The 24,940-nt window shown below is 33.7% G+C and overlaps 1 long non-coding RNA gene across 9 annotated transcripts in view; it reads right to left on the bottom strand.

Annotated features, from left to right (window-relative positions):
• The window catches only part of MIR99AHG (mir-99a-let-7c cluster host gene), a 561,240-nt gene that overhangs the window by 347,564 nt on the left and 188,736 nt on the right, over positions 1 to 24,940 (bottom strand). The gene's annotated exons all lie outside the window — the stretch shown is intronic.

Genomic DNA, 24,940 nt, shown 5'->3' with positions numbered 1-24,940 from the left:
TGCTTTATGTTTTTTAATGAAGCCATTGCTCACTATCTCAAGTGCTGCAGGAGCTTAACCCCTGGGAAAAGGCAAGTTTCATAGAATGTGAAACTTATTTGGGCAACAGAAACTAAAACTATCTTGGAATAAATATGTTCTACATCTGATCATTTTTTATTTAATTTATTGTTGTTTGCTTTAGTTGGTGGGCACTCTATTTAGCAGTAAGAAAAAGTCAGGCTATTTCTGCTATGCACATCACTTAAAAAAAACTCATGAAAATATTAAAAATGACAGCAGAGTTAGGTAGCATTAGAGTGTGTTATAGTCCTCTAAATGTGTGTGCACCTCACAGTGGGGGAATTTGATTAACCCCAAGTGTGCCAAGTAAATCAGAGCCCAGGGGTTGGATGCAACTGCTCCGTACTGTGAGTTCACACAGAGAACATAGTTTATGCTGAGGGGTGGTTGTTGTTGTTGATGTTATTGAATGTGGGTTATTTTTAATTTTTAAAATGACACTATGGCTAGTTAGGGGTATTGGCACAGCATGGACTGATGAAGAAACTGATTACAATTATAAAGACTTCTGGGGCCAAAACAGTCAAACATACCGCCTGCTACTCATGATGGCCCCAGCAGTGTCTATATGGTTGTCAAGTATGATTAAGTGAGAAGCAAACTGTATTTATTATTTTTTTCTACAGGATTTAGATGCCCATGGATATGGCTCATAGTATTACCAGAGTCCTACTTCTTTCTAGTATTTTCCTTGAACAGTTAGAATACTCAAGAAAGAGAAAAAAACCTCCATATTATTGTATTCTCCAGAGTCTATAATATGGCAGGATAAATCAGAGAAAAATCATCTTCTCTAAGTAACTTTCACAATACTTTATCACTCTTAAAACTTGAAGTCAGTTCCCGCCTTGTTTATTTTTCACATTCTATATATTTGAAACTGACAAAAAGCAAGAAAACATATTGGAAATACACCAGTAAGATGAAAAACAAACAAACAAAATTTAACTCTGGGGAATTTATTTTTTAGAGCACATGCAAAAAAGAAAAATAACCTTTGCTTAATCCTATGGGGTCACCTATTGAAATGCAGCATCTGAACGTAGTTTATGTTTGATTTTTGTTCCCTAAGAGTATTTTTCATTTGGGAGAAGAGCACTTATTACATGTCACAAAAGAGCCTGAATGGGTATTCAAATAACTGCTGTAATCAAAAGATTCTTTTTTTCAAGGAAATGACCATAGATTTTTATACTTATTTTTGCTCTGCTATGGGTATTCTAGAATGATGGAAAGATTCTCATTTGTTTCCCCATCCCCTGGCCCCCCGGAAGCTATTGAATTGTTCTGGTTTTGTACAGTGTAGAACAATTCTGCAATAATAAAACATTTCAACTTTGTACAAAAGGTGAAGCTTTCCATTTGAAGTTTTTCTTTACCGGAAAAAAAGTAGAGAAAATGGACTGACAGCTTTAGAAAATTCAAACAATTCCCCTTGCCAAGATACGTATTTTGTGAGTTTTCTTTAATTTTGGATTTGGTGCATATGTTTCCTCTAACAATGAATGCTTTCAATTTCAGAGTTCAGTTTCTGCTCTCCCTACTCAAACCAATCTTCACCTTTTAATAGGCAATTATTTTTCTAATTGCTTTGTAAAAACTTTTTTCAGGATGATTGGGAGACACTCAGCTCTAAGGTATACATTATGGTTGCATTTAAAACAAACAGAGTGGGCTATAAACTGTAAAATGGCACTTGATTGGTAAAAGCATCTTAGAATAAGAAAAAGAAGCAAAAAGACTGTACTTCAAAGTACTAGAAAACTTTTGTAACTTACGAATTCATAAAAATCATAGGGGAATCTATTGAGAAGAATTCTTTTAAGGAACGAAGTGAGCAAAGCAGTATTGGCTGTGATTGTTTTAATGGGATAAGTAGTGTTGCAATATTTTCTGCCATTGGCATTAAATCTCACTTCACAAAATGGAATACTCTCCCACTGCTTTTTCTCTTTATAACCCATTACTTACATGGAAGTATATTTTTTTAATGTTGAAAAAAATACATAAAACCAAGCTTTCATGATCTCAACTGTTTCATATATATTCATTTGAAATACAATGTTTTGAAAAACATTTTCATGTGGCAAAATGAAACAGGAAAATACTGTTAGAAAACAAGAATAAGTAATATTGCTATATATTATGAGAATTTAACCATCAGGTGTGAAAAGAAAGGCAATCCCACTCAGCTCTGTGATACCTCACAAAAGCATGTTTAGCAATGCTAATTTTAGCATTGCCTACACAAATAGAATAATAAAAATACATGTGGCTAAGCAGTTGAGATTTGTAATTGCGATATTGCATAGATGATTCCAAAACAATTCAATTCAAATCAGGAAAATTAGTTGATATTTCATGAAACCAACTAAACCTAAAATAAAAGCTTCCTTCAATCTCGATGTTTTAAAATTAATTTATGACAGGCTGTTTAAAAGACTTGTTTAATTATTAATAGAAATGTTTTATCTCATGGTTCTCTTAAAAAGTTGCATTTGATATTATCTACCACTGACTAAACACAGAAGGTAAAATACACACATGGTTGGGCCAATATTGCAAATATCCTCATTAGTATCATGCTATAGAAAAACAATGAAGTGATTTTGTCACCAATTACTGACAATTAGCCTAAGTACAACAGTTAATTTCATGGAAATAAAACCACTATAAAATGAAAGGAACAAAACCTATCATAATTAATGGCATTTGTCTGCATTCCTCTACTGGTTATTTAATTAATGAACCATAAAAGTTTGAAGTAATTTGAACAGCTAAACACATATGCAAAATTAAAAAGCCTGTGTATCTGGATTTTCTGAATTTTAAGTATCTGTGGAAACATGTATTTGAGCAGCAGAATTATGTATATCGAGTTTTTATCCCCTGAACCTAAAGATGTCATACTTTCAGACAATGCATTTGTCAAACAATAAAACCTATTATATTAAGTTACAGAGAAATGTCTTGTGAGAGCTTGTCATTATCCTGTTATAATGCTTCTAGAGATAGTGAACTGCCAATAATTGTAAAAACATTATAATAAAAGTTCCTAGTTTCTCTCACTCTTTCTTCTCACTCAAACTTTTCTCTGCACTTGCTTCTCCCATAGTTTTTCTAATGTAACACTGTGGTCTGTGATCATGAGCGTGAGGATGTCCACTTGTGATCCCAGGTCAGTTTTGTCTCATGCATTAACTCTCTGCCACAAGTTTCAGAGCTTGCAGTGTCAGGATGTATTACGAAGTCAAATCAAGATTTAAGATGTTGTTCTGGCCTCTCCCAAAGCTGGAAAGGACTCATTTTGCAGGCTACCTACCAATTGACAAAGTAAAAACAACTCAAGGCCAGTGACTTCTAAAGCTAAACTTCAGAAAATGTACCCTTGCAAATATTTTTCCAGTTTCAACAAGTTCAGAAAACAACATTTTAAAACCTCACAAAACCTCTCTATTGACTGTTGCTTAATGAACAGCCACATGGATTTTAAAACTTTAAGTACACAAATAAACATTTTAGAGGTTTTTGGCTGTGCAGAGATAAGATCCTCTCTGGGGAGACGACTAGAAACGGCCGGGCTCCTTTGTGCAGACTCCTGGAATGTGCTTGCTTTTCATTTCTTTCTTTGTGTCTGGCACACTGGCCTCACAGGCAGTGTCTTAAGCCATGCAGGGTCAGGGCAAACAGAGAACTGCATTCATGGACAGATCAAGTTTATGTGAGAATCTGCTCCTCCACTGCCCTCAATCTCCATATGAATTGTTAATAAAATCTCAGCCTGAAAGCTCATCACCCCAACAGTGGGGAAGTCATGCAGAGAATCCTCTCGTTCAGAAAAACAAGATTTCTTCATCTTTTTCATCCTTCGCCAGCATTCGTGGGAATTCCGCCATGTAACCTCCTCCTGAACTAACCCGCACCCCCTCCCCAACCAATACCCCATTCCTCTCCACAACTCTCTAGGTCGCACCTGATCATCATCGGGGGAAGCGGGGAGCCGAAAGACAAAAGAAACATTCTTACACCCACAGCAAATCTACCACAATATCAACTTTGCCTCTGCAGTATTTTGCTGCTGTAAAAACCTTCAGGCAAAGGGAAATATCAATGCTTATTTCTTTTGCAGTTTGTGTCAAACACTAGAAAGACTTTCCCATAGCTTTATGACACCATATGAACTAGAGAGCCACAGATATAATAAAAGGTCACATAGAAAGCGAAGAACAGAGTCCTACCCTAATTAACTTGATATCTCCATGCAAATACTGGACAGGAACAAGACCCGATGTGTGTGGCAGGCAATCTTGCGTGTATCTTCTAACCTTGCTACAGTCTAGCTGGGCCTCTTCTTTCCTCTGCTTTTGCTCCTTGAAAACTGTTTTAATATCGAACGCTTTTCAGAGGGATGGGCTGATGAACGAAAACATGAATTTCCTGCTTGCCCTTTAAGGTGGGTTAAAGGGGGTGCTAGCAATCAATTACAGAACAAAAGAACAAAAAAAATGACTTAAGAACCTACAAGTGAATGTATAACAGTGTTTGCAGTCTATTTTTTTCATCTAAGTGCTTTATCTGTATTTATTTACCTTTATCATATATACAATATCTATTTCATTAAAAAAAGGATGTTTGCCCAGCAGCTCCCAAAGAAAAGCTGTTTTCTACTGAAAATGCCTTTAAATGCACTTAACTTTCATTTCAACTTGATGAGTTAACAAAGAGTAAAGAAGTTTAAAATTTTTTCTACATTTATGCTTCAGATTTTCAGATTGCTTTAACACACTCTGATCTATTTACAGAATAAAAAGTTGCATTTTCTAGTCTAATTAACATTCTGGCCCTATCAAATCTTTATTTTCTTATTTTATTTTGGTAAATAAGACAACATTAACTTTTAAACTCTGTACACAAATGATTCCAAGGTATCTTTCAGTAAACGTTTTTTGCTGCAGCTGCATATGTCAGAGAAAGTTGAATACTGTTTAAAAAGAATACTTCTAAAGTACATATAAATAAATCTGATTTGACTAAATATTATGCAAACCTCTATAACCATATATCCAGAAATGTTGTTAATATTTAAGAAGATAGAAATGCACAAACTCTCAAACACATGATTTCTTTTTTAAAGAGGTAAAATAAAAGAAACATAAAATCATTCCTTAACCATTCACATAAAAAAGTCATATACATTTATTATTTCACTGAATTTATCTAAAACAAAGTTGCTATTATAAATAAAACACGCATTTGCTCTATACCCATAGGTATCACCCTTCGTATGTGAATCATAGGAACCAGTAGGTCAAAGAATTCTCTTCTATCAAATTTGAGTCACAGAAATTTGACAAATTTTCAAAAGAAAGAAAATTTAGTTGTGTATTAAACATTCCAGTGCCTCATAGCATTCTATTTAGGTATTAAGATTTAGAAATTTATGAAATACATATTGGAACCATAATTGTAATATAAAGTTCAATATTATTATTCAGCATTGATATAAATTATTATTATAATTAATATGCATTCTACTGTTTCTGAAAGCATAGAAAGTCCAATGGCTCTTCAAATATACCTAAAAAATTTGCCTTTAAATATATAAAATCAGTAAATCAATGGATGCTGAAGACATACTTGCAGTTATGCAAATATGTGAAAAGGGCTATTTTAGAAAATGGAAAATGATCTGAAATATATATTCCTCTTTTGTGGAATAATTAAACAATAAGCTAATTTTATAGTAGTGAGTTTAATATTTAGTATGGCTATGTAAAAATCAATAATTTTTTTCATAAGACTATATGTTAATGAGTTATATCACATCAAAATGTTAATGTGATAGTTTACTTTCATTAATCACCAAAGGAATCATAATATTTTAGGACAGAATCTGTATTATCAAACCTCAATTTCTATTGTGACAAGTATTTTCTGAGAAGCAGAAATTATTGGTTTGACCATTCCCTTGAAGAATTTGCTCTTCAAAATATTAGTGAAGTTCTAGAGTAGGGCTCCCCATTCTTTTTCTAAGGGATGTGTTCCATTGATTTTCATGGGGTCTTGCAATTCATAACAAGGTGGAGGAGGAGGCAAAGTTGAATGTAGATGTTACTGGAGGGCTTGAGAAGTGGCAACCAATAGCACTCTCTTTTCTGCCTGAAACTCTGGGAGCCAAAGCGAGAGAATGTGGCCCCAAGAATAGCTTGGAGGTGGTAAAGGGTGGAAGCAATTGACAACTTGAATCTGGATGTGTGTATTTACAACGAGAATATAGATAGCAATGTGACTCCATGCTACGAGGTTTAACAAAGCTTTTAGAGAGCCTCTGATAAACCTAGAGACAAGTTGAGGTTTTCATATTGTTATGGACTGAATGTTTGTATCCTCTTAAAATTTACATGTTGAAGCCCTAACCCGCAGTGTGACTATACGCAGGGATGGAACCTCTAAAGAAGTAATGAAGGTTAAACGAGGTCATAATGATGGGACTCTGATCCAACAGTATTAGCGTCCTTATAAGAACAGACAAGAGAGAATTCACTCTTTTTCTTTCTGTGCACACACATATGGAGGAAAAGCCATATGAGGCCATAGGAAGACGGACATCTACAAGCCAGAAAGAGAGCCCTTGCCAGAAACCAAAGCCCTTGATCATGACTTCTAACCTCTACAACCGTGTGAAAACAAATTTCTATTGTTTAAGCTGCCTAATCTATGGTATTCAATTATAGCAGCCCAAACAAACTAATGTTATCACATGTTAAAACCAGCAATAACAACAATAGCAAGTTGAAATAAACCAGAACTTCATTCTAAGGATAATTTTGTTTTGCTTGGTATCTTCTCCCTTCCAGTAGAGCCAGGTGAAGTAGGTAAGTACTTCAATATTTGTCCCTGCTTCTGTTATAAAATGTTAACCTTACCACCCACCTGCTGGATAGCTTGTAGATCTGTCTTTAATCAAAATTATCAATTACATACCTAAACTAGAGAGTATAATGGTTAATTTCTCATGTAGTTATTTTCCTTCAAAATTCCGATTTGAGAAAAAATCTATAGTGTAAGGATGAAGAGTATAGATTTTTGAGTAAGGGTCTAGATGCTGATTGAGCTTCAGGGACCTACTTGCTCTTTGACCTTATGTGCCCCTTGGCCTGTCCAAGATCCAGTTTCCTGAGCTCTAAAATAACATCACTGACATCAAAAGATTGTAATTTATACTTGATGCTAGTAAACTGGCAAGATTCTTCATCATGACCATGACCAACATCATCATTTTCATCACATTTCTCTAGGCTTCCTAAAATTCTTTCAGTTTAATAAAGGCAGCAGAAGTCTATATATTTGGATTTGCACAATCTTAATGCCCTCGTGGAATCACTTTCACAGAATTTTTAAAATATAATGTCTAAAACATCAGTAAAGATCAATCAGTATGAGGAATAGCAGTATCTTGATCTGATGCTAAGATGTTTCTAAGGACTCTGCTCATTACACAGTGCTTTAAAAGTGACTGGTATGAATCATCCTGTCACATCACAAGAAGTGTGTGTGCTTCCACCCTTGATTTTCACCCTGGCTTCAGGTGGCTTATGTTAAATTACCGTGTGGCTTGCTCAACTGGCATACTCGCAGTTTTATTCCCTTTGCTCAATCTTTTCTCTCTCCTTTGTACTTTATACTGCTCTTTCAGGAGGGTTCAGGTTTTGTCCTATATTTAGGAAGATGAATTTAGAAACACTAAGGCAGTGAAAAGCATGGGGCCCTGGAACCAGACTCTAGGGGGTCAAAAAAAGTATGGCCACTTAATAGCTGATTGGTTTTGGGCAAATTAATAATCCTTCTTATTGGTTTTCTTGTCTGTAAAATAGGTGTGATCTCAAAGGATTAGGGTGAGAATTAAGTCAGTTACTACAGATGCCAGAACGTTATTGGGAAATGTTAACCATTCAATATATATTAACTGCTATTAATACAGTGTTTAAATAGGCACCATACGAACAAAAAGTCTAATATAATCAATGAAACAGAAACATTTCATTGATCATAATAGATACTAAAAAAAAGAAGAATATGGGGTTCGCCCTCAAATACATTAAAATTTAACTGGTGAAGTAATTCAACTTATTAAAGAACTTTTTAAAGAAAATTAGAGAAGAACTCTTTAGGTGGAAGACTACATTAATGAGTTATTTTTAATGTTCTGAAGGTGGACCAACATGGTAATGGGAGACGATATGCTTCTTTGCTTATAAATGGATGTTTAAGGAGGGTTAAAGATGTTTCAAGGAAAATTGGAAAACTTATTTGAGCCATAAAGATGATACCAAAATGATAATAACCAAAATAATATCAAAATATTTATATCAAAATAACCATAATATTTGTCAATAATGGGCTACATCTGCAGGTTCTATATGTAATATTGTGAAGCCATTTAGTCACTCGGAGGAGACATAACAGAATCCTCTATGTCTAGCCTTATTTCTGTTTTTCCAATTAGTACACATTCCTTTGAAGCTCATAGTGAAGATTTGTACATATAGTCCATCCTTGCTATTGGTTTAAATATTGTATTCTATTCTCATTTAAGTAAAAAAAGTTATATATAAGGCATATAAAATGTCAAGCAAAACATATAAAGTCTTATTCCATTTTATAGTTATGCTTTTGCAGTGTATACTATTGAAGTGAGGTTTTTTTGTTTGTTTTGTGAGCCAGAGTCTCGCTCTGTTGCCCAGGCTGGAGTGCAGTGGCACAATCTTGGCTTGCTGCAACCTCCACCTCCAGGGTTCAAGTGATTCTCGTGCCTCAGCCTCCCCAGTAGCTGGGATTACAGGCATGCACCACCATGCCTGGATAGTTTTTATATTTTCAAGAGAGATGGTGTTTCACCATGTTGGCCAAGCTAGTCTTGAACTCCTGAGCTCAAGCTATCTGCCCACCTAGGCCTCCCAGAGTGCTGGGATTACAGGCGTGAGCCACTGCACTCAGCCAAAGTGAGTTATTTCAAATGAAAATCTAGGAGTTAATTTGGTTATAAGATGACATAAATATTTATAAGGACAAATGAGGTATGACTTTTTCAAACTGAAGCTTAAAAATAGATCAAAATGACTAAAACTGTGCCCACTCAAGGGAAGTACACCTCCAAAAATGTTTAACATTGCAAAACTTGTATCCTCGTCATAGTTCTACAAGAAATTATTGTCTTTAAATTGTAACATTAATGTTGCTAATGGGATTCTATTCAACAATCACTCACTTTTCAGAAATAAACACATCTAATGATAGAATTAGAGTATTCTGTAAGTAACATCAAAAGTTACGTGATGTATAAAACCCAACAACATTTGAGATCAATAAAATACAAAGAAAACTTAGAAACTACTTAGAAACCAAAAACTTAGAAACTAATTCTTCACAAGAGTTTTTTTCCTGGTTTAAAAAAAAAAAAAAACTCTCCATTTATTTTAGAAGTATTTTGAATATGGCAGTTCCCAGCACATATTTTCCAAGGATGTTACCTTTTCTTTTTTGAATATGCATATTGTTGAGGTAGAATTCAGTCAGAGAAAGTGTTCCTGATTCAGGTTTACTCAACTCTGGAGGTATTTGCTCCCTAGAAGTGCCAGGGCTTTGGACCTTCAGCATTGTGTCGAGAATACATGAGAATCAGGTCACAACAGGCTCATGTACAGAGTCCAGGCAGTCCTTCTGATTGGGTTTGGCAAAACATACTCTCCCACATTTAATTCTTCCAACTACAACTCAGAAGTAAGCTCTAAATATAGATAGTGATGGGAAAAAAATAATTTAGCCAAAATTAAAGCAGAATCTTTAGGTTTTAGCACAGGAGAAAAAAAGCATACTTTATGTATAATAATGAAAAAAGTTCTATTATCTTTCTGAAACAAAAAGTTTGCTAAAATACAGGTTCTAGATATATCGTGTATAACAGTGTATGTTCTAACACAACAGCATATCTAGCTGAAACACAACAATATAAATATAAGATAACCAGTTGAAGTAGAATGTAAGAAATAAAATAATACACCCATTTCATACAAAATGTAGTTTAAACGATGCTTAAATTAACAAGAATAACTTAGTAAGTGGAAGCATAATTAACTATCATTATTACCAAATAGTCACCTGTTGGCTGTTGTCCTAGCATCTGTTGGTTATGTTATTCAATTGCATTCATAAACATTTTATTTTATTATGAATATTTATATTCATAAATATCCATAATATTTTCTTCAACTTTTTTTTTTTTTTTTTGAGACAGAGTCTTGTTCTGTTGCCCAGGCTGGAGTGCAGTGGTGAGATCTTGGCTCACTGCAACTTCCTCCTCCTGGGTTCAGGTGATTCTCCTGTCTCAGCCTTCTGAGTAGCTAGGATTACAGGCATGCGCTACCACACCCAACTAATTTTTGTATTTTTAGTAGAGACAGAGTTTCGCCATGTTGGCCAGGCTGGTCTCGAACTCCTGACCTCAGGTGATCCACTCACCTCAGCTTCCCAAAGTGCTGAGATTACAGGCGTGAGCCACCACGCCCGGCCCTTTATTCAGTTATTTAACTGCTGTTTATTTCATGCATATTATATGCTAGATAGAGTACTTACCTCTAGGAAAAGATAAATAAGGCATAAGATCTTTGCCTTTATGATGGAATTACTACTTTCTCTGCATTTAAAAGGTGTGAAAACTGAGACCTATAGTGGTTAAATGACAGTAAGTAAAAGGTAGAGATGGGATCCCAATCCATGGTGCCTGAGCTCAAAGCCTATATTTTTGTAAACTGACAGGACAAACAGGTGAAGATTATCAGTTCAATTTCCCTTGCGTTATATCAAGATCTTGGACATTCATTCAGTCCCTCTGTGAATTCTCGCTCTCTCTCTCTGTCTCTGTCTCTCTTCTCCCTCTCTGTCTCTGTGTGTGTGTTGCCCTGTGGTTTTTTTTTTTTTTTTTTTTTTGACTGAAAGAAAGTTTGGGAATTTGGCAACAAAGAAAAATTATTTGAAAGAAACATCTTTTCACTCTATTTAAAACTAATAGTTCATAGGAATGCTTATTGTTACAGATAACTTTAAGGCAATGTTCTAAAGAGACCATGACTCTTAATACTGAGATTTTTATAAAAGGAATGGTAAAGACTCTTTAACAAGATGGAAGCAACATTTATCCGTCAAATATCCTTTTCTTTTCTCTCAGTATATGATGTTTTTATTCAAGGAAAACTTTAATTTGATTATAATAATGTCAACCAATCTTGACAAGAACTTTTCCAAAATGCCCTTTAAGGTGAAGTATTTGTTGGCATTATAGAACACAGCCAAATATTACCCTGTATTTAAAGAGAACAATAATAGGGTAATACTCTCTGACGGTAGAGCAATACTAGAGAAAACACCGCGCTGTAGCTTTACTTTTCCTACAAATATAAGTCATCACCTACACTGTGAATTAGAAGTAGAATGGTGCTTTTCCCTAAAAATTTTAAACATAAACATTTTACTAACATAATCTATGACTCAAATACGGTTGAAATGTTGTTCCAATACAGATTTAAGCTCAATGCTGTACAAGTCAGAAATGTGCTTGCTAAGAGATTTGCAGAATAATATCTTGGAAGGTCAACACTTGGGAGAAAAATAGAGATAAAGACTTTACCCGTCACAGGAAGAGCTGAACTCTACCTGATGCTGCAAATACAACCTTCATAAGGATATCCAATGATCTATCAGTTTGATTAACACTTATTCTCTTTTTTCCTGATGCTCCTGATTTACTAATATGGATGAAAATATTGCAGTTCCTTAACGTCTATTATTTTATCACATGATTTCTAACAGTTGTTTGTAAAATATTTATTGTTATACTTGTAATGAGGCAGAGATACACTCTAATTCATTTTGTTGCTTACGTAATTTTTACCAAAATGTTTATTTTATTTTGTTGACTCTATAGAGATATGTTTAAATATAATGTATATTATCATCTGCTCTCTAGTAACCACTACTTATAACATACTATATTCATATTTGTTTTTATAGCTTTATCAATTATTTAGTATGTTTTGTTACTGTCTTCATAACAATATTTACCAATTCCAGCATTGTTTAAAGCTGTGATATTTTACACTTTATTTCAAGGTTTGTAGACTATTACCACATTTTCAGAACTTATGAATTCCTACTGAATTCAATTACACAATTTACTTTATTTCTATAAAGTATCACCCTACCAACACTGTTACATCATTGAACCACTTGAAAATCACATTCAATACATGATTTTTAAAAACCCATATGGCATTGATATAGATCAAATGCAGCTAGCATTTCTTAGACTCAAACATGTACAATAATGTTTAACTATACCTTCTTAGTAGGCATACTCTACTGTTCATATGACTGTTAATACTGGGTTCTCACAAACAATCAAAAGCCCAGTTGCAATATTACTCTCTGCCACCATATTTTAAACTTGCACAACATCACTTATTGCTATAAGCTGTGCTGTTCAATACGTTAGCCACTAGTCACATGCACATATTAAACATGTGAAATAGTAATTTCAGGAACATATTGCTTTATGTTTAAATAATTTAATTCAGGGGTTGCTATGGTTTGAATATATACTACCCAAAATTCCAAATTTAAATGTTGAAACTTAATGTTTAATGTGATGTATTAAGAGGTAGGGACTTTAAAAACTGGTTAGGCCATGAGGGCTCCTCCCCTTGTAAATGGGATTAAGGGGATTAACGCTTCATGTAGCATTAGGATTTCTTGCCCTTCAGCCTCCTGCCACATGAAGACCCAGTGTTCCTCCCCTCTGGAGGATGCAGCAAGGATGTACCATCTTGGAAATGGACAGCAGCCGTCAGAGACACTGAACCTGCTGGAGTCTTGATCTTGGACTTACAGCCTCCAGAATTTTGAGAGAGTAAATTTCTGTTCTTCATAAATTACTCACTTTGTGCTATTTTGTTATGGCCACACAAAATGGACTAACACAGGTGTCAAAACAAGAAACCACCCTTCTCTTTTGCTTTGTATCTGTTAGTAGCAGTGGTTTTAAGTATTATTGGATTACAGACACCTTTGAAAGAAAAAAATTAAAACTCTAGGCCCTGCTCAGAAAAAAAAAAATGTGCTTATGAACATGCATATAATGTTGCAGGTAATGTTAGGGTTCACAGACCTACAGCCAAATAGCAGATCCAAGTCAAGAACTATTATAAAAGTTATTTTGCTACGTAGCAGCATTCTGTATGAAAGCCTTTTGGGACATCAGAACCATGGGCAGGGGGAGCCTGGACAAGGAGAGCCAACACGGATTAAAATAATCAGAATTTAGATTCTAAGGTGGGAAATTGATTGTTCCATGTAGAATGTCCAAATGGGGTGCCAGGAGGTTGGGTTGAATGCAGCAGCAATTAGAACCCAAGAACCAGCACGAGGGTTACACACAACTTGGCAGGCACTATAAATTCTAGAATCCAGTTCTGTAGGTTCAAATGATAAAAAACTTTCAGACCAGGCCTCTATCAGTGATGAAAAGTTAAAAGAAAAAAAAACTGGTTCTGTTTTCTCCTAGATAGAGCATAACAAGAATTGTAAAGCCCTGGTGAAACTGGCTAGTGTTTAATGCTGTGCTATAATACCTATGAGGAATCTCAGGGTGATTGGATTACTATTGCAGAGGTTAAGGAGAGAAACAGCTGAAAATGTACCCGGCAGAGAAACAGTTGTGCACAGGCTAGAATTTGTCATATTATCCTAAAGAGCTGAACATGGTGATTGCAGTGTACTCCAAGAACCCAAGACATTATCCCAATTCTACAATTAACTTACCTAAGACCTTTGAAATATAATTGAAATATCTAGTAATCATAGTTTTCTTAAAAGTATAGCTATACATTAGTGTGCAAACCCTGGAGTTGGCTTGCCTGGGTTCAGAGTCCCTTTCAACCAAAAACTAGCAATGTGACTTTAGACCTTACCTTCTGGAAGCTATTTACAAACTATAACATAGAAATGATAATAGTACTCAACCCATAAAGAATTTGAAAGGTTAAATGAGAATATATTTAAAGTATTTAGAGCAATGCCTGACACAAAGCATGTGTTCATTCAATGTTTGATTTCATATATATATATATTATGTTTTGCCCAGTAGATTATTTTCATTCTGTGAAGTCTTTGAAATGGCTAATTATGCATAAATTCTAAATTTTCAGGTGTTTTAATCTGATAACACACACATTAGGGTCCTGTAGTTTTCCAGGATCTGGATTCTGTGGCACATAATTCTCATATGACAGAGGAGCTGTGCTGAAATATGATTATTTCATGTTGATGACAAGTGTGGAAACATGTCATCTAGGTGATTTTACATCACAGACTATTTGACATCTAAAACTGCAAGATTTTAAAACAGGTCTGAATGACAAACACAAAGGAAATAAGCCAATCTCATTATCATAGTTATAGCTTGTGCTTGGCAACAATTAGACAGTAGCCTGTCTTAGAGAGTAGCACATTTTCACAAGAAATTTTCTTAAAATTTTGTAAGACGAGAACACAAGCATTATCATAAGAAAAAAAAATTCCTGAAGAGATCCCATGACTATCAATGTGCAATAGAATATCAAAATTATTCTTTCTGTGGAACAGTGGAAGATACAATAATCTCTAGAGACAATTTATATTTTGGTAATGTTATGTTCTGCCATCATTATATTTTCCCTATCTTCATTTCCCAGCATGTATATTTTAGTGTGTAAGATTAGACACTTGGGTGACCGTCTATATAATGCATTCTATGTCAAGCTCATTATTAATAAACACTAATTGAATTTCATCAAATAATTATAATTCCAATAATAATATACTTTCTGAAGTTTTTTCAGAATATTTGTTACATTCTTGTCTTCCAGGAGGGATACAACTTCAGGTAAGATGTCATGAACAGTTTTAAACTAGTCATATCAATAATGTATATATTTAATCCCATACATTGTAGCATTTCATGGAGAAATTGAAGCCCAAATTTAATTGATCTTTTTAAAATCCTTTTTAAGAGGTTTTAATCCCAAACTGAAATCTTACTTTGCTATCTCCTTTTGTGCTATGGTCTGACCTGAAAAGCTAATATTTGTATCTTGCCCAGTTTTTCTAATTCTGTTTATTATGTCATTTAACATTTTCTTCTGTAGATAATTAGATAATTACCCATTTGCAATGCCAATTATTAAGTTTTTCCTCTTTCATAATGCCTATATTGGTGGTTTGTTTGTTTTACCGTGTATTATTTCTTTGCCAACGAAGTTAGGATCTCCTAATTGGAAAAGCAACTTTTAAACATAATTTTGAGCTACAACATCTATAAAGGTACAAGATATGTTATCATGCCTCCATTAAGTATTTCAGCCAAGACTGATGGTTATAAATGTATAAAATGCTCTAATTTCCTTGAAGTAAAATTAACACTAAAAGCTAAACTATTTCCTAGCTTAACTCTGCATTACTGGTAGCCATTTTATTCCACCTGTCATATGATGAGTTACAGTTACTTAAGAGGCTGGCATTTTGCAATGAAAATACAAAATTTGCACCAATATTCAAGACAGAATAACAGGCACAAAATCTTATGAATGTGCTACAACTCTTGAAAATTCTGAAAAAAAAAAACCAGTTGATAAATGTAATGAGGTATGTCGGTAATAATGTAATGATATAATATAAGGTTTTTACAGTTTAAAAATTCCTAAGTGTAAGAAAATAAAACATAAAATATAATTATGCTAACAAATTAAATAATAGCACAGATCTGTCTAAAACTCTAATCCAGATGCACCATTTGGTCATTTCACATGTAGGTTTATTTCAGATTCTATGTATGTATGTGTTCTGCTGGTGTGTGCGCCACATGTTCATGGGCTGGTTGGGGAGGGCAGTGGAAGTAAAACCTTTTTTTTAATTTGAAGATTGATATTTAAGAGTCTACAGAAAGCATGGTATGTGTTTTTCAATGAAAATAACACTTTCCTTGGAAATACTACAGATCTACTTTATTGAAGATACATTTTATTTGCATTTGGGAATAAGAAAAATTATATCATCCACTTTGACTCATTGCTTTGGGTGTTCTGCTCACCTATGGTGCAAAAACCAAATGATCCCTAAAGACCATTTACTCCCCAAAAGTAAGAATCATGCCTTTTTGTGCCTACAACTGTATTCCCAACATGTAGCAGGGCTCTTAAATGGCATTCAATAAATATTTTATTTAGTCAAAAACAAAACACTGAACATATGAAGCACCTTATTTTAAATAATTTTACACAAGTATTCATTGTATGTAAAGTAATATGGATATGTGTATAAAGCATCAATAAAAATAAATATTTTTCATATCACTCAGATTTCTGCAAATTTGTAACAGTGGAGAATGAGGGCTTCGGGACTTTCGTGCCTCACAGATTTGAGTTCCAATTCTTTTTCTGGAATTGAGAAAACATCAGCTCCTTAAATGTCTGGGGTTATCCTCATCTGACAAAAAGAGACTAAATCCTTTTCAAAGAGCTCATGATAGGATTGGAGTGTATCATACAGGGTTGATGAAAGCCCGTCAAATGATAGATACCATCTTCCCATGTTATTATTTTTCATACCCATGTTGATATTTTAAATAAAAGGTCTGGCATTTCAGATTTTTACAACAATAATTGACAAAATTAGTACAAAATTTGATTTCCAAACAGAATTTTTTAAAAACTTGGATAGATTTTAGAACATTATTTGGTCCAAACTCATGTATGTAAATAGGCAATGGGTAAACTAGCTATAAAAATAAATCCTTTTGAAGATATGCAAATAGATAGATTCTATGCTGCCTTTTCCTTGTTCAAAAATGACTCCCTATATTTCAAATCCCCTAATTGGTTATATACTGTCAGAGAGCACAAGTAAGCAGTCATTGTACTCAAAACAACAGCAGCAATAATGGTAATAATCTGAAGAGAATAATGAGTTTATTATTTTTTGTCCTACTACTGGAAAATTCCAAATTGAATTTACCCTCTCCTAACTGGCAATGTTATGCTTCCCCTTTATGTTATGAATTTGATGACGGAAATAGTTAAATCTCATCTCAGGTTTTCAATCACTTGGATTCCCTTAATAAGAATCAAATTAGTAAGGGTACTGGCTTTTGCTAATTTCAGTGTGTTTTGGCAGAATGACATTACCTCTGTTATAATCCAAAAGTTCAGTTAGGGTCCTATGAATTGCTTTTCAAGAGAACACTTGTGCATAATGCCAAAATCCACCCCAAAATAAATGCATATCTGATTTAAAAAATACTTTTTTCATTTGGATGTTTTTGAATGATAACTGTAACACAACCTTTTCATTTATTTCCTTTTATTTAGTCCACATAGTGACTATGACATAATGAGACCTTTTCTTTAAAATTACCATTATCTGCATAAGATTACCTAAATCCTTCCAACTCTTCGAGATCAATGAAATTACAACTTCAAATCTACATGAAAGTCATATTCCTTACTTTTCTTTCTCCCCTTATTATTACATATTTTTGAGAGTCTGCTATATAGCAGAGGGGCTCCAAAACACGTAAGAAATTGTCCTGACACCAAAGAATTGGAACCTAATGGAGATACCGTAACCGAAGGCAGCATTTCTAAGTGTTTTGTAGAACTATAAATTCCCTAAGAAACCTTAAAGTTTCAAAATCTGATTTGTGTGAACAAAAAAAGAGAGATGATCATTAATTTCTGCTTATAGTCTATTACTGCCATAATATACAGACAGTTCAGGAAGCTTCACGCATTCATGTAAAAACGGTTGATAATAAGATAGAAAGAATCTGAGGCGGTAGATATCTTTAAGGTGATGAGCCACATGCCTGCTCTCGTTGGCCTATCTTCCTCCAGACATGATAGGAAAGAGAAGTAAATTTCTATCTTGTTTGATCCACTCTATGTGAGTGTCCTTGTTACCTGTTTCAGGCTGTATCAGTGTGCTTCTAATTATTGATGCTGAAAACTTAACAGCCAATGAAATTTTCATCTCTACTTCTAGTACCCAACTACTGGATTACAGTCTTTGTAGATCTAATGGCATATTCCCCTTCTTCACCTGGAAAATTCCTATGTAAATCTCAAATATTCCATCCTGTTAGAAATCTTCCCCAACTCAATCAGAGTTTTTCAGGCAATCCACTGAGCTCCCCAAGGACCAGTTATTTGAGAAACAACTGGTCCTTGGAGAGCTGCAAAACAAATTTAAGAGATATAGTCTCAGAAATGTTGAGAAGGATACCTTTTTTTTTTTTTTTTTTAAGACGGAGTCTCACCCTGTCACCCAGGCTGGAGTGCAGTGGTGTGATCTTGGCACACTGCAACCTCTGCCTCCTGGGTTCAAGTGATTCTCCTGCCCCAGCCTCCCGAGTAGCTCGGATTACAGGTGTGTGCCACCACACCAGGCTAATTTTTGTATTTTTAGTAGAGACAGCGTTTCACCATGTTAGTCAGGCTGGTCTTGAAGAGAAGGATACATTTTTTAAATTACATAATTAAGAGAGACCTTGTGCTATAAGAGAAACAAGACTGACAATAATTTTAAAAAACAGCATAACATTATAAGTTGTACTAGTTTGGAAAAAAGCACAACTCTCTCCCTTGTTCCTTAATTTAGCTTTGATGTTATGACACATCATATAAACTGCAGTATTCCATGTAAGTTAAGCACAACCCAATTATTTACCTGAATAAAATTAAGGCCAAACAAAATGGAAAACATATTTGCCATCTAATATTTCCATGTTGGGTGTTTAGGTTTCATGAGGCTGTCTTATAGAAGAAAGAATCAGAATAGTAAGACAAAAATAGTTCTAAGTTAAGAAGAAATGCCATCTGTGAAGTTTATGAATTAAGTTGGATAATGATTAGTTCCTCAAAGGAGGAAAGTTAAATATAACTAATAAGTCTTCTATTATAGTAAGGCAAAACCAAAAGACAAACGAGCAAACAATAATAGGCAAAAAGCAGCAATTTTGAAAAAGTACACATATATGGCTATCTTCTTAGAAATACATTTTATCCAATATTTCATTGACTATTGAAAGTTATACAAGAGTATTTGCATCAATCAGAATATGCTAAAAAAGATAAGTTGTATGTTTAAAATAAATGATTTTCTTGGAAGAATAGAAAATAGTCAAAATTAAAAGCAGTTACCATGAGACTTTTTTTCTGTGATAGAAAAAACATTAGGAATGGAAAGAAAAATCATAAAGTCCAAAAACTGAAGATGAGATATCTAATTTCTTAACAGCTTTTTAATTCAGTTTGATCATGTTCACATTTAACAACTCACTGATCTCATCGGGTTCCAGCTTAGAGTCACGTATGTTGAAACTGAAAGGAACCTTAAAGGAAGCCCAAACATCTCCAAATTATGGAAGTGTATAGGCTGAAGAAGAAGTGACTTCCTTATAAAACTCAATACTGCTTTTAAAAGATACTACAATTGACGTAATCACTTACTTTCCATGTTCTCCTTACTAGGACCCATGGGAGATTTCTGTTCCTAATATTAAGAAAATAAGTATTCATATTCTTTGTGACTGGTTGATTCGTGGTCTGGAAGATATCCTAAACTTGTGTAATTTCACCAGGATTTCCTTTTTTGCATTGGCTGCTAGAAATCTTGAAACAAAAATTATGACCTATTTATAGCAAGGGCATATAACATTATGTTATCTTTTTAGCCCCGTTGCTGGCACTTTTGTTTTGTTTTCAAGGCAATTTTTCTTTCTTTTTACACTTTTATCTTTAATTACAGATCTTTCCCAATACCCTTTACCAAACAAGGGCAAGAATGAATAAATGAATGAAAGAACACTCAATTTTAAATGGCACATCTGGGCCCAGAGGGCAAATATTCTGTCTCCAAAACAAGTGCTTGTGTCTTCTCTACATTATTTAGCATCCCTACTTAAAATTGGATAAATTTCACCTTGCATCATTGAGAGTTGTAAGAATGACTTATCCTTTACCAAAGAAGAAAAAAACTGGTTTCGAGGAAAATTGCTTTCTAAATTCATTTCCTTTTAAAAAATCAACAAGTGTCTAGTATGCGTAATGAAGCATTCCATATATCTCTATGTCTATCTGTCTATCTATCTATCTATCATCTATCTATCTATCGTTAAGATATTTTAAAGAAAACATTTAAAGGTACTAATACTATTTCAAACTTTATTTGGTAATTTTCCCTCAACAAACCTTTGCAAAGACACATAATAAAAACAGAAAGAAAGAAAAAATAACTATTTCAGTCATTCTGAAACTTTTAGATAGCTAATCTCTGGCTATCTAAAAGTTTAGCACACCACATGACAGCCCTCTAACAGAAAAACAAGACAACATCATGGAGAAAAAAAATAATCATCTTCTATGGCAGAACAAAAGGAAAACGCAAGGAATTTTTTTGAAATAATTTGAGCTATGGACAGACCTGTCATAGACACCTGCCTATTTTTGAAGCCCTTCTGAAGAATCCTCAATTGGTATAAGACCATAGCCAAGAACTTTGGTTAGTGTACTATACTCAAGTTCCTAAACCATCCTCTAAAAGTTTTGAGGCCTCCTATTTAGAACTGAGCAAAACAGATTTTGTCATTTGATGAATGAATAACTAATGAGACTAGTTAACATTTTAGAGTGGTTTCTTTGAGTCAGGCCCTGCAGCAATTGCATTATCTCTAATCTCCTCAAACCCAAGAGGCAGTAATATAATTATTCTCACCTTTACAGATGAATAAACTGAGGTTTGGGAAGGCTTGTTAAAGGTCCTAACGCCAGTAAGTGTTGGAAGTTGGTCTGCCTCCAAACACCACACTCTTAAGCCCTACCCGATATTACCATCTGTGCTTATATATGGTAATATTCATGATGTGTGGCTAACATTTGATATTACTGGTATTAATGTTCATTGATATTCTTAAAGACCTTCTTCAGGCTGAGAATGGTGGCTCACGCCTGTAATCCCAGCACTTTGGGAGGCTGAGGTGAGCGGATCACCTGAGGTCAGGAGTTTGAGACCAGCCTGACCAACAGGGTGAAATCCCATCTCTACTATAAATACAAAATTAGCTGGGCGTGGTGGCACATGCCTGTAATCCCAGCTACTTGGGAGGCTGAGGCAGTAGAATCGCTTGAACCTGGGAGATGGAAGTTGCAGTGAGCCGAGGTCGCCCATTGCACTCCAGTCTGGGCAACAAGAGTGAAACACTGTCTCAAACAAAAAAAAAATTAAAAACTTCAAAAAACTAACTGTACAAATGCTACATACAAGGAAACATTGATTAAAATATAGAATATTTATGCTGGAAATTTAAGACTATTCAGTCTAAAATTTCAAATTAAGTAAATAAAAATATCCCACCAAATATAAGTTGTATAGGAAAAAGTAGTATCATTTAATTTTCTAAATAGGCCAAAAATGAAAATGGCTTCCAAGTCCACCTTTGCAAACCATATCTAGTACATCTATATACTATATCTAGTATTACCCACACTTCACATATTTTTATATAAGCACTGCCAAGAGACTACAACATTTTTTAAAGGTGGAAGTAAAACTGCAAACTTTGGAAAGAAGAATTGTATTACCTATCCATAAAATTCAAGTTTACAAAAGAGTTGGAATATATTTATGCTATGGTAACTTGATCATGCATAAAAGGGGTGATACACTCAGTGACTCACATTACTTTAATTAAAAACCTGGTTGGGGTTACTTCAGGTTGGAGAAAAGCATAGAAATAGAAGTCACAAGGGCAGATTTATATTCTTGATAGTACCACTAACAGGAACTCTGCATAATATAAAGATTGTTTTATTTCCATGTCAGAAAGCAATCAATATAAACTAAATGTGAGATGTACAATACTTTCATTAGGAGGAGGGAATTGTATTATTCATTCATAAAATTTCTTTCAGCGCTGACTGAGAAGTTCCTATTCAATGATTTCCACAAACTTATAAAATTTTATCTCAAATCAATGAATGCATGCAGCAATAGAAATAAAATAATTTAAGAAAAATATCTTAAAATAGAAGTGAGGAGTCCCGCAATGAGAACTATATTTTACAAATTATTACATGAAATATCATAGACTGAAGCCTGAGGGAAGGAAATGTTGACTAAGAGACTTGAGTTGGGAGCACTCTTGCAAATAATCAAAATTTTGCCTTCTAAAGTGAGAACCGAGCCAGATAAAGGAAGGAAAGAAAAGTGGAAAATAGATTTAACTAGTGAAACAGAATTATGAAAATCAGAAAAATTACTTACTTCGCCATTTCCATTTCTAACATGTACCTCATTCTATTCTCTTTCTTCCCAGATTTCCCTTCAAAGTAATAAGGTTGATTAGTTTTTCACTGATGAGTACTAACTCTACCACTCTTATTCTACTGATTCTATTACTGCTATTAATAATTCTATTATTACTGATTCTCCTTGATATTAGGCAATATTGATAAAAAGGGGGCGGAAATGACACACACAATTACTTCCTTTTCGAGCACAAATACATATGGACCCTTCTGGGTGCTTTCCTTATAAAATGAAATGGACCTACCCATTTTAGGTGTGACATCTACTTTTAAAATTAAAAAAAAAAAAAACTATACACATGTTTCAGAAAAGTTTGTAACTGTCACAATTATAATGCAACTTGTTTAGTCCATCAGTATAAATATACTTTTTTTGGTCAAAAATCTCTAGATGGAAAAATGTGTGAATTATTCTTAAAACTGTGCCTTACAACGTGGTAGAAAATTAGGCCAAAACACAAGACAGAATGACCAAAACCACCAGATGTTTTCATAGAATGCAGACATTGCTCTAATGAATTTCATCCCTATGGAAAATCCCACCCGATTTTATAAGGTTCATAATGTGTTTCCTAAAGGAATGGAAACATTATTGGGATTGCTGTCTTAACAGGCAGCACATAACTCCACATTATGAAAACAATTTATTCAATTATTTTTTCTTCTAAATACCATACTTTGCTAATAATAGGTTCTACCATGGTTTGTCTCTCTTAATTTTAAAAGTTATATTTCCTAAAATTGAAAAGATACTAAAAATGTTTAAAGAAGTAAACAAGGGCACCCATATCATACATATTCTTACCATCTAGAGTTAACCATCAATAATATCTTAGCATATTTTTATTAGTGTTCTTCCTTGCTTTTCCTACTAGGAGTCATGTTCACTGCAAAAAAAAAAAAAAAAAAAAAAAAAAAACCTCAAAAAATTATTTAAGTACAGCAAAATATTTTTAAACACACAAAATCCTAACAAAGAAATAACTGGAATTGATATGAGGGGAAATTCATTTCAGGCATTTTTCTGTGCGTAGATATGGATGGATGGATGAATGGATGGATGGATGGATGGTAAATGATACATTTATGAATATTTAATCATTATAAACACTTTTTTAAGTCTTAAACTTAATTTTTATAGATTATAACAAAATAAATCTGAAGTAACACTAAAGATAGTGGTGAATTTCTAATATTTCTTTACCAACAAAGATATGATTTCTTTAAATTTCCTTTTTGCTTAAGAAATTATTTAAAATATTAAGAAGTGATGTCATTTTCCATCTTAAAACTCTATAATACAGGGTATAATTCTGTAGGATTCTGTAAAATATGAAGACATCAGCAGTTCACATGTCCCTACGTCATCTCTTTGTACTTTCTAATTTTAAAATGAATATTCTTATACTTATCTTCTTTAGGTTTAAACATTTGTACACCTCTGTTACAATATTACCCTTGATTGCTAAGTATTAATTTTATATTTAAATATTTGCAAAGCTTACTATTTTTTTATGAAGTCTTTCTTTTTCTGCCTTTTTTATTTTGATTCAACTACTAATTGGCTTAATGTATTGTTACAATGATTTTAGAAACACTCAGGCACCACTACTATATATATATACATGTTTCAGAAAAGTTTGTAACTGTCACAAATATACATATATATAGTAAATATAATGTATTATCTATGTGTGTGTAAATATATGTGTGTGTGTATATATATGTGTGTGTATATCTATATATTTATAAACATTTTAAAAGGAAACAAACTCCAAATACCAACACAAAGGAATGTATTAAAATTGTGCTGTCAACTAATTCAAATTCTGTAAATGCCTTTTTACTAGCTAATTTCAAAATAATTTAACTAAAGGGAATTCTATGTGGACAAAGAACTTCTAATTTTATTTTAAAATGTAGTCATATTAACAAACTATTTTTAAGAACAGCTTTGATAGCTATGCTGTATTGGTGTTGGAATTTTGTAATCTTCTACTCCTCTGAATTTATAGAACATGCAAAGTTACTATATCAGAATGATTTCTACTAATATTACAGATTTGCTTTTTAATAGATGTGCTAACTTTCATGTTTGGAGAGTAAGTAAAGCAACACTAGAGGCATGACTACTAGAATGATACTCAAAAAAACACAGATGGGTTTTTGCATTTGTCACAGTTGATTCAAGAAGTTCGTCATCTCAACAGACTGCTTTCTTCAAATCTTCAAATGCACCCCACAGTAACTTAACCCAGAACAGGTGACAGACCCTGCCCTAGCCAGAAACTATGTCCTTCAGTTGATTTAACTTATTTACAAAGGCTGATGACGGCAACCTAATACTCTTACATTAGACCCCAGGTTACCAAGTAAGAAAGGAATTAGCTGTGACTTAGCAAGATCCTCGTTTAAATTTCACAGCTCTG

The sequence above is a fragment of the Homo sapiens genome, chromosome 21 (genome assembly GCF_000001405.40).
Source record: "Homo sapiens chromosome 21, GRCh38.p14 Primary Assembly".
Lineage (NCBI taxonomy): Eukaryota > Metazoa > Chordata > Mammalia > Primates > Hominidae > Homo > Homo sapiens.
The sequence above is the reverse complement of the archived record's forward strand: the minus strand, read 5'-3'. Positions and strand labels throughout refer to the sequence as shown.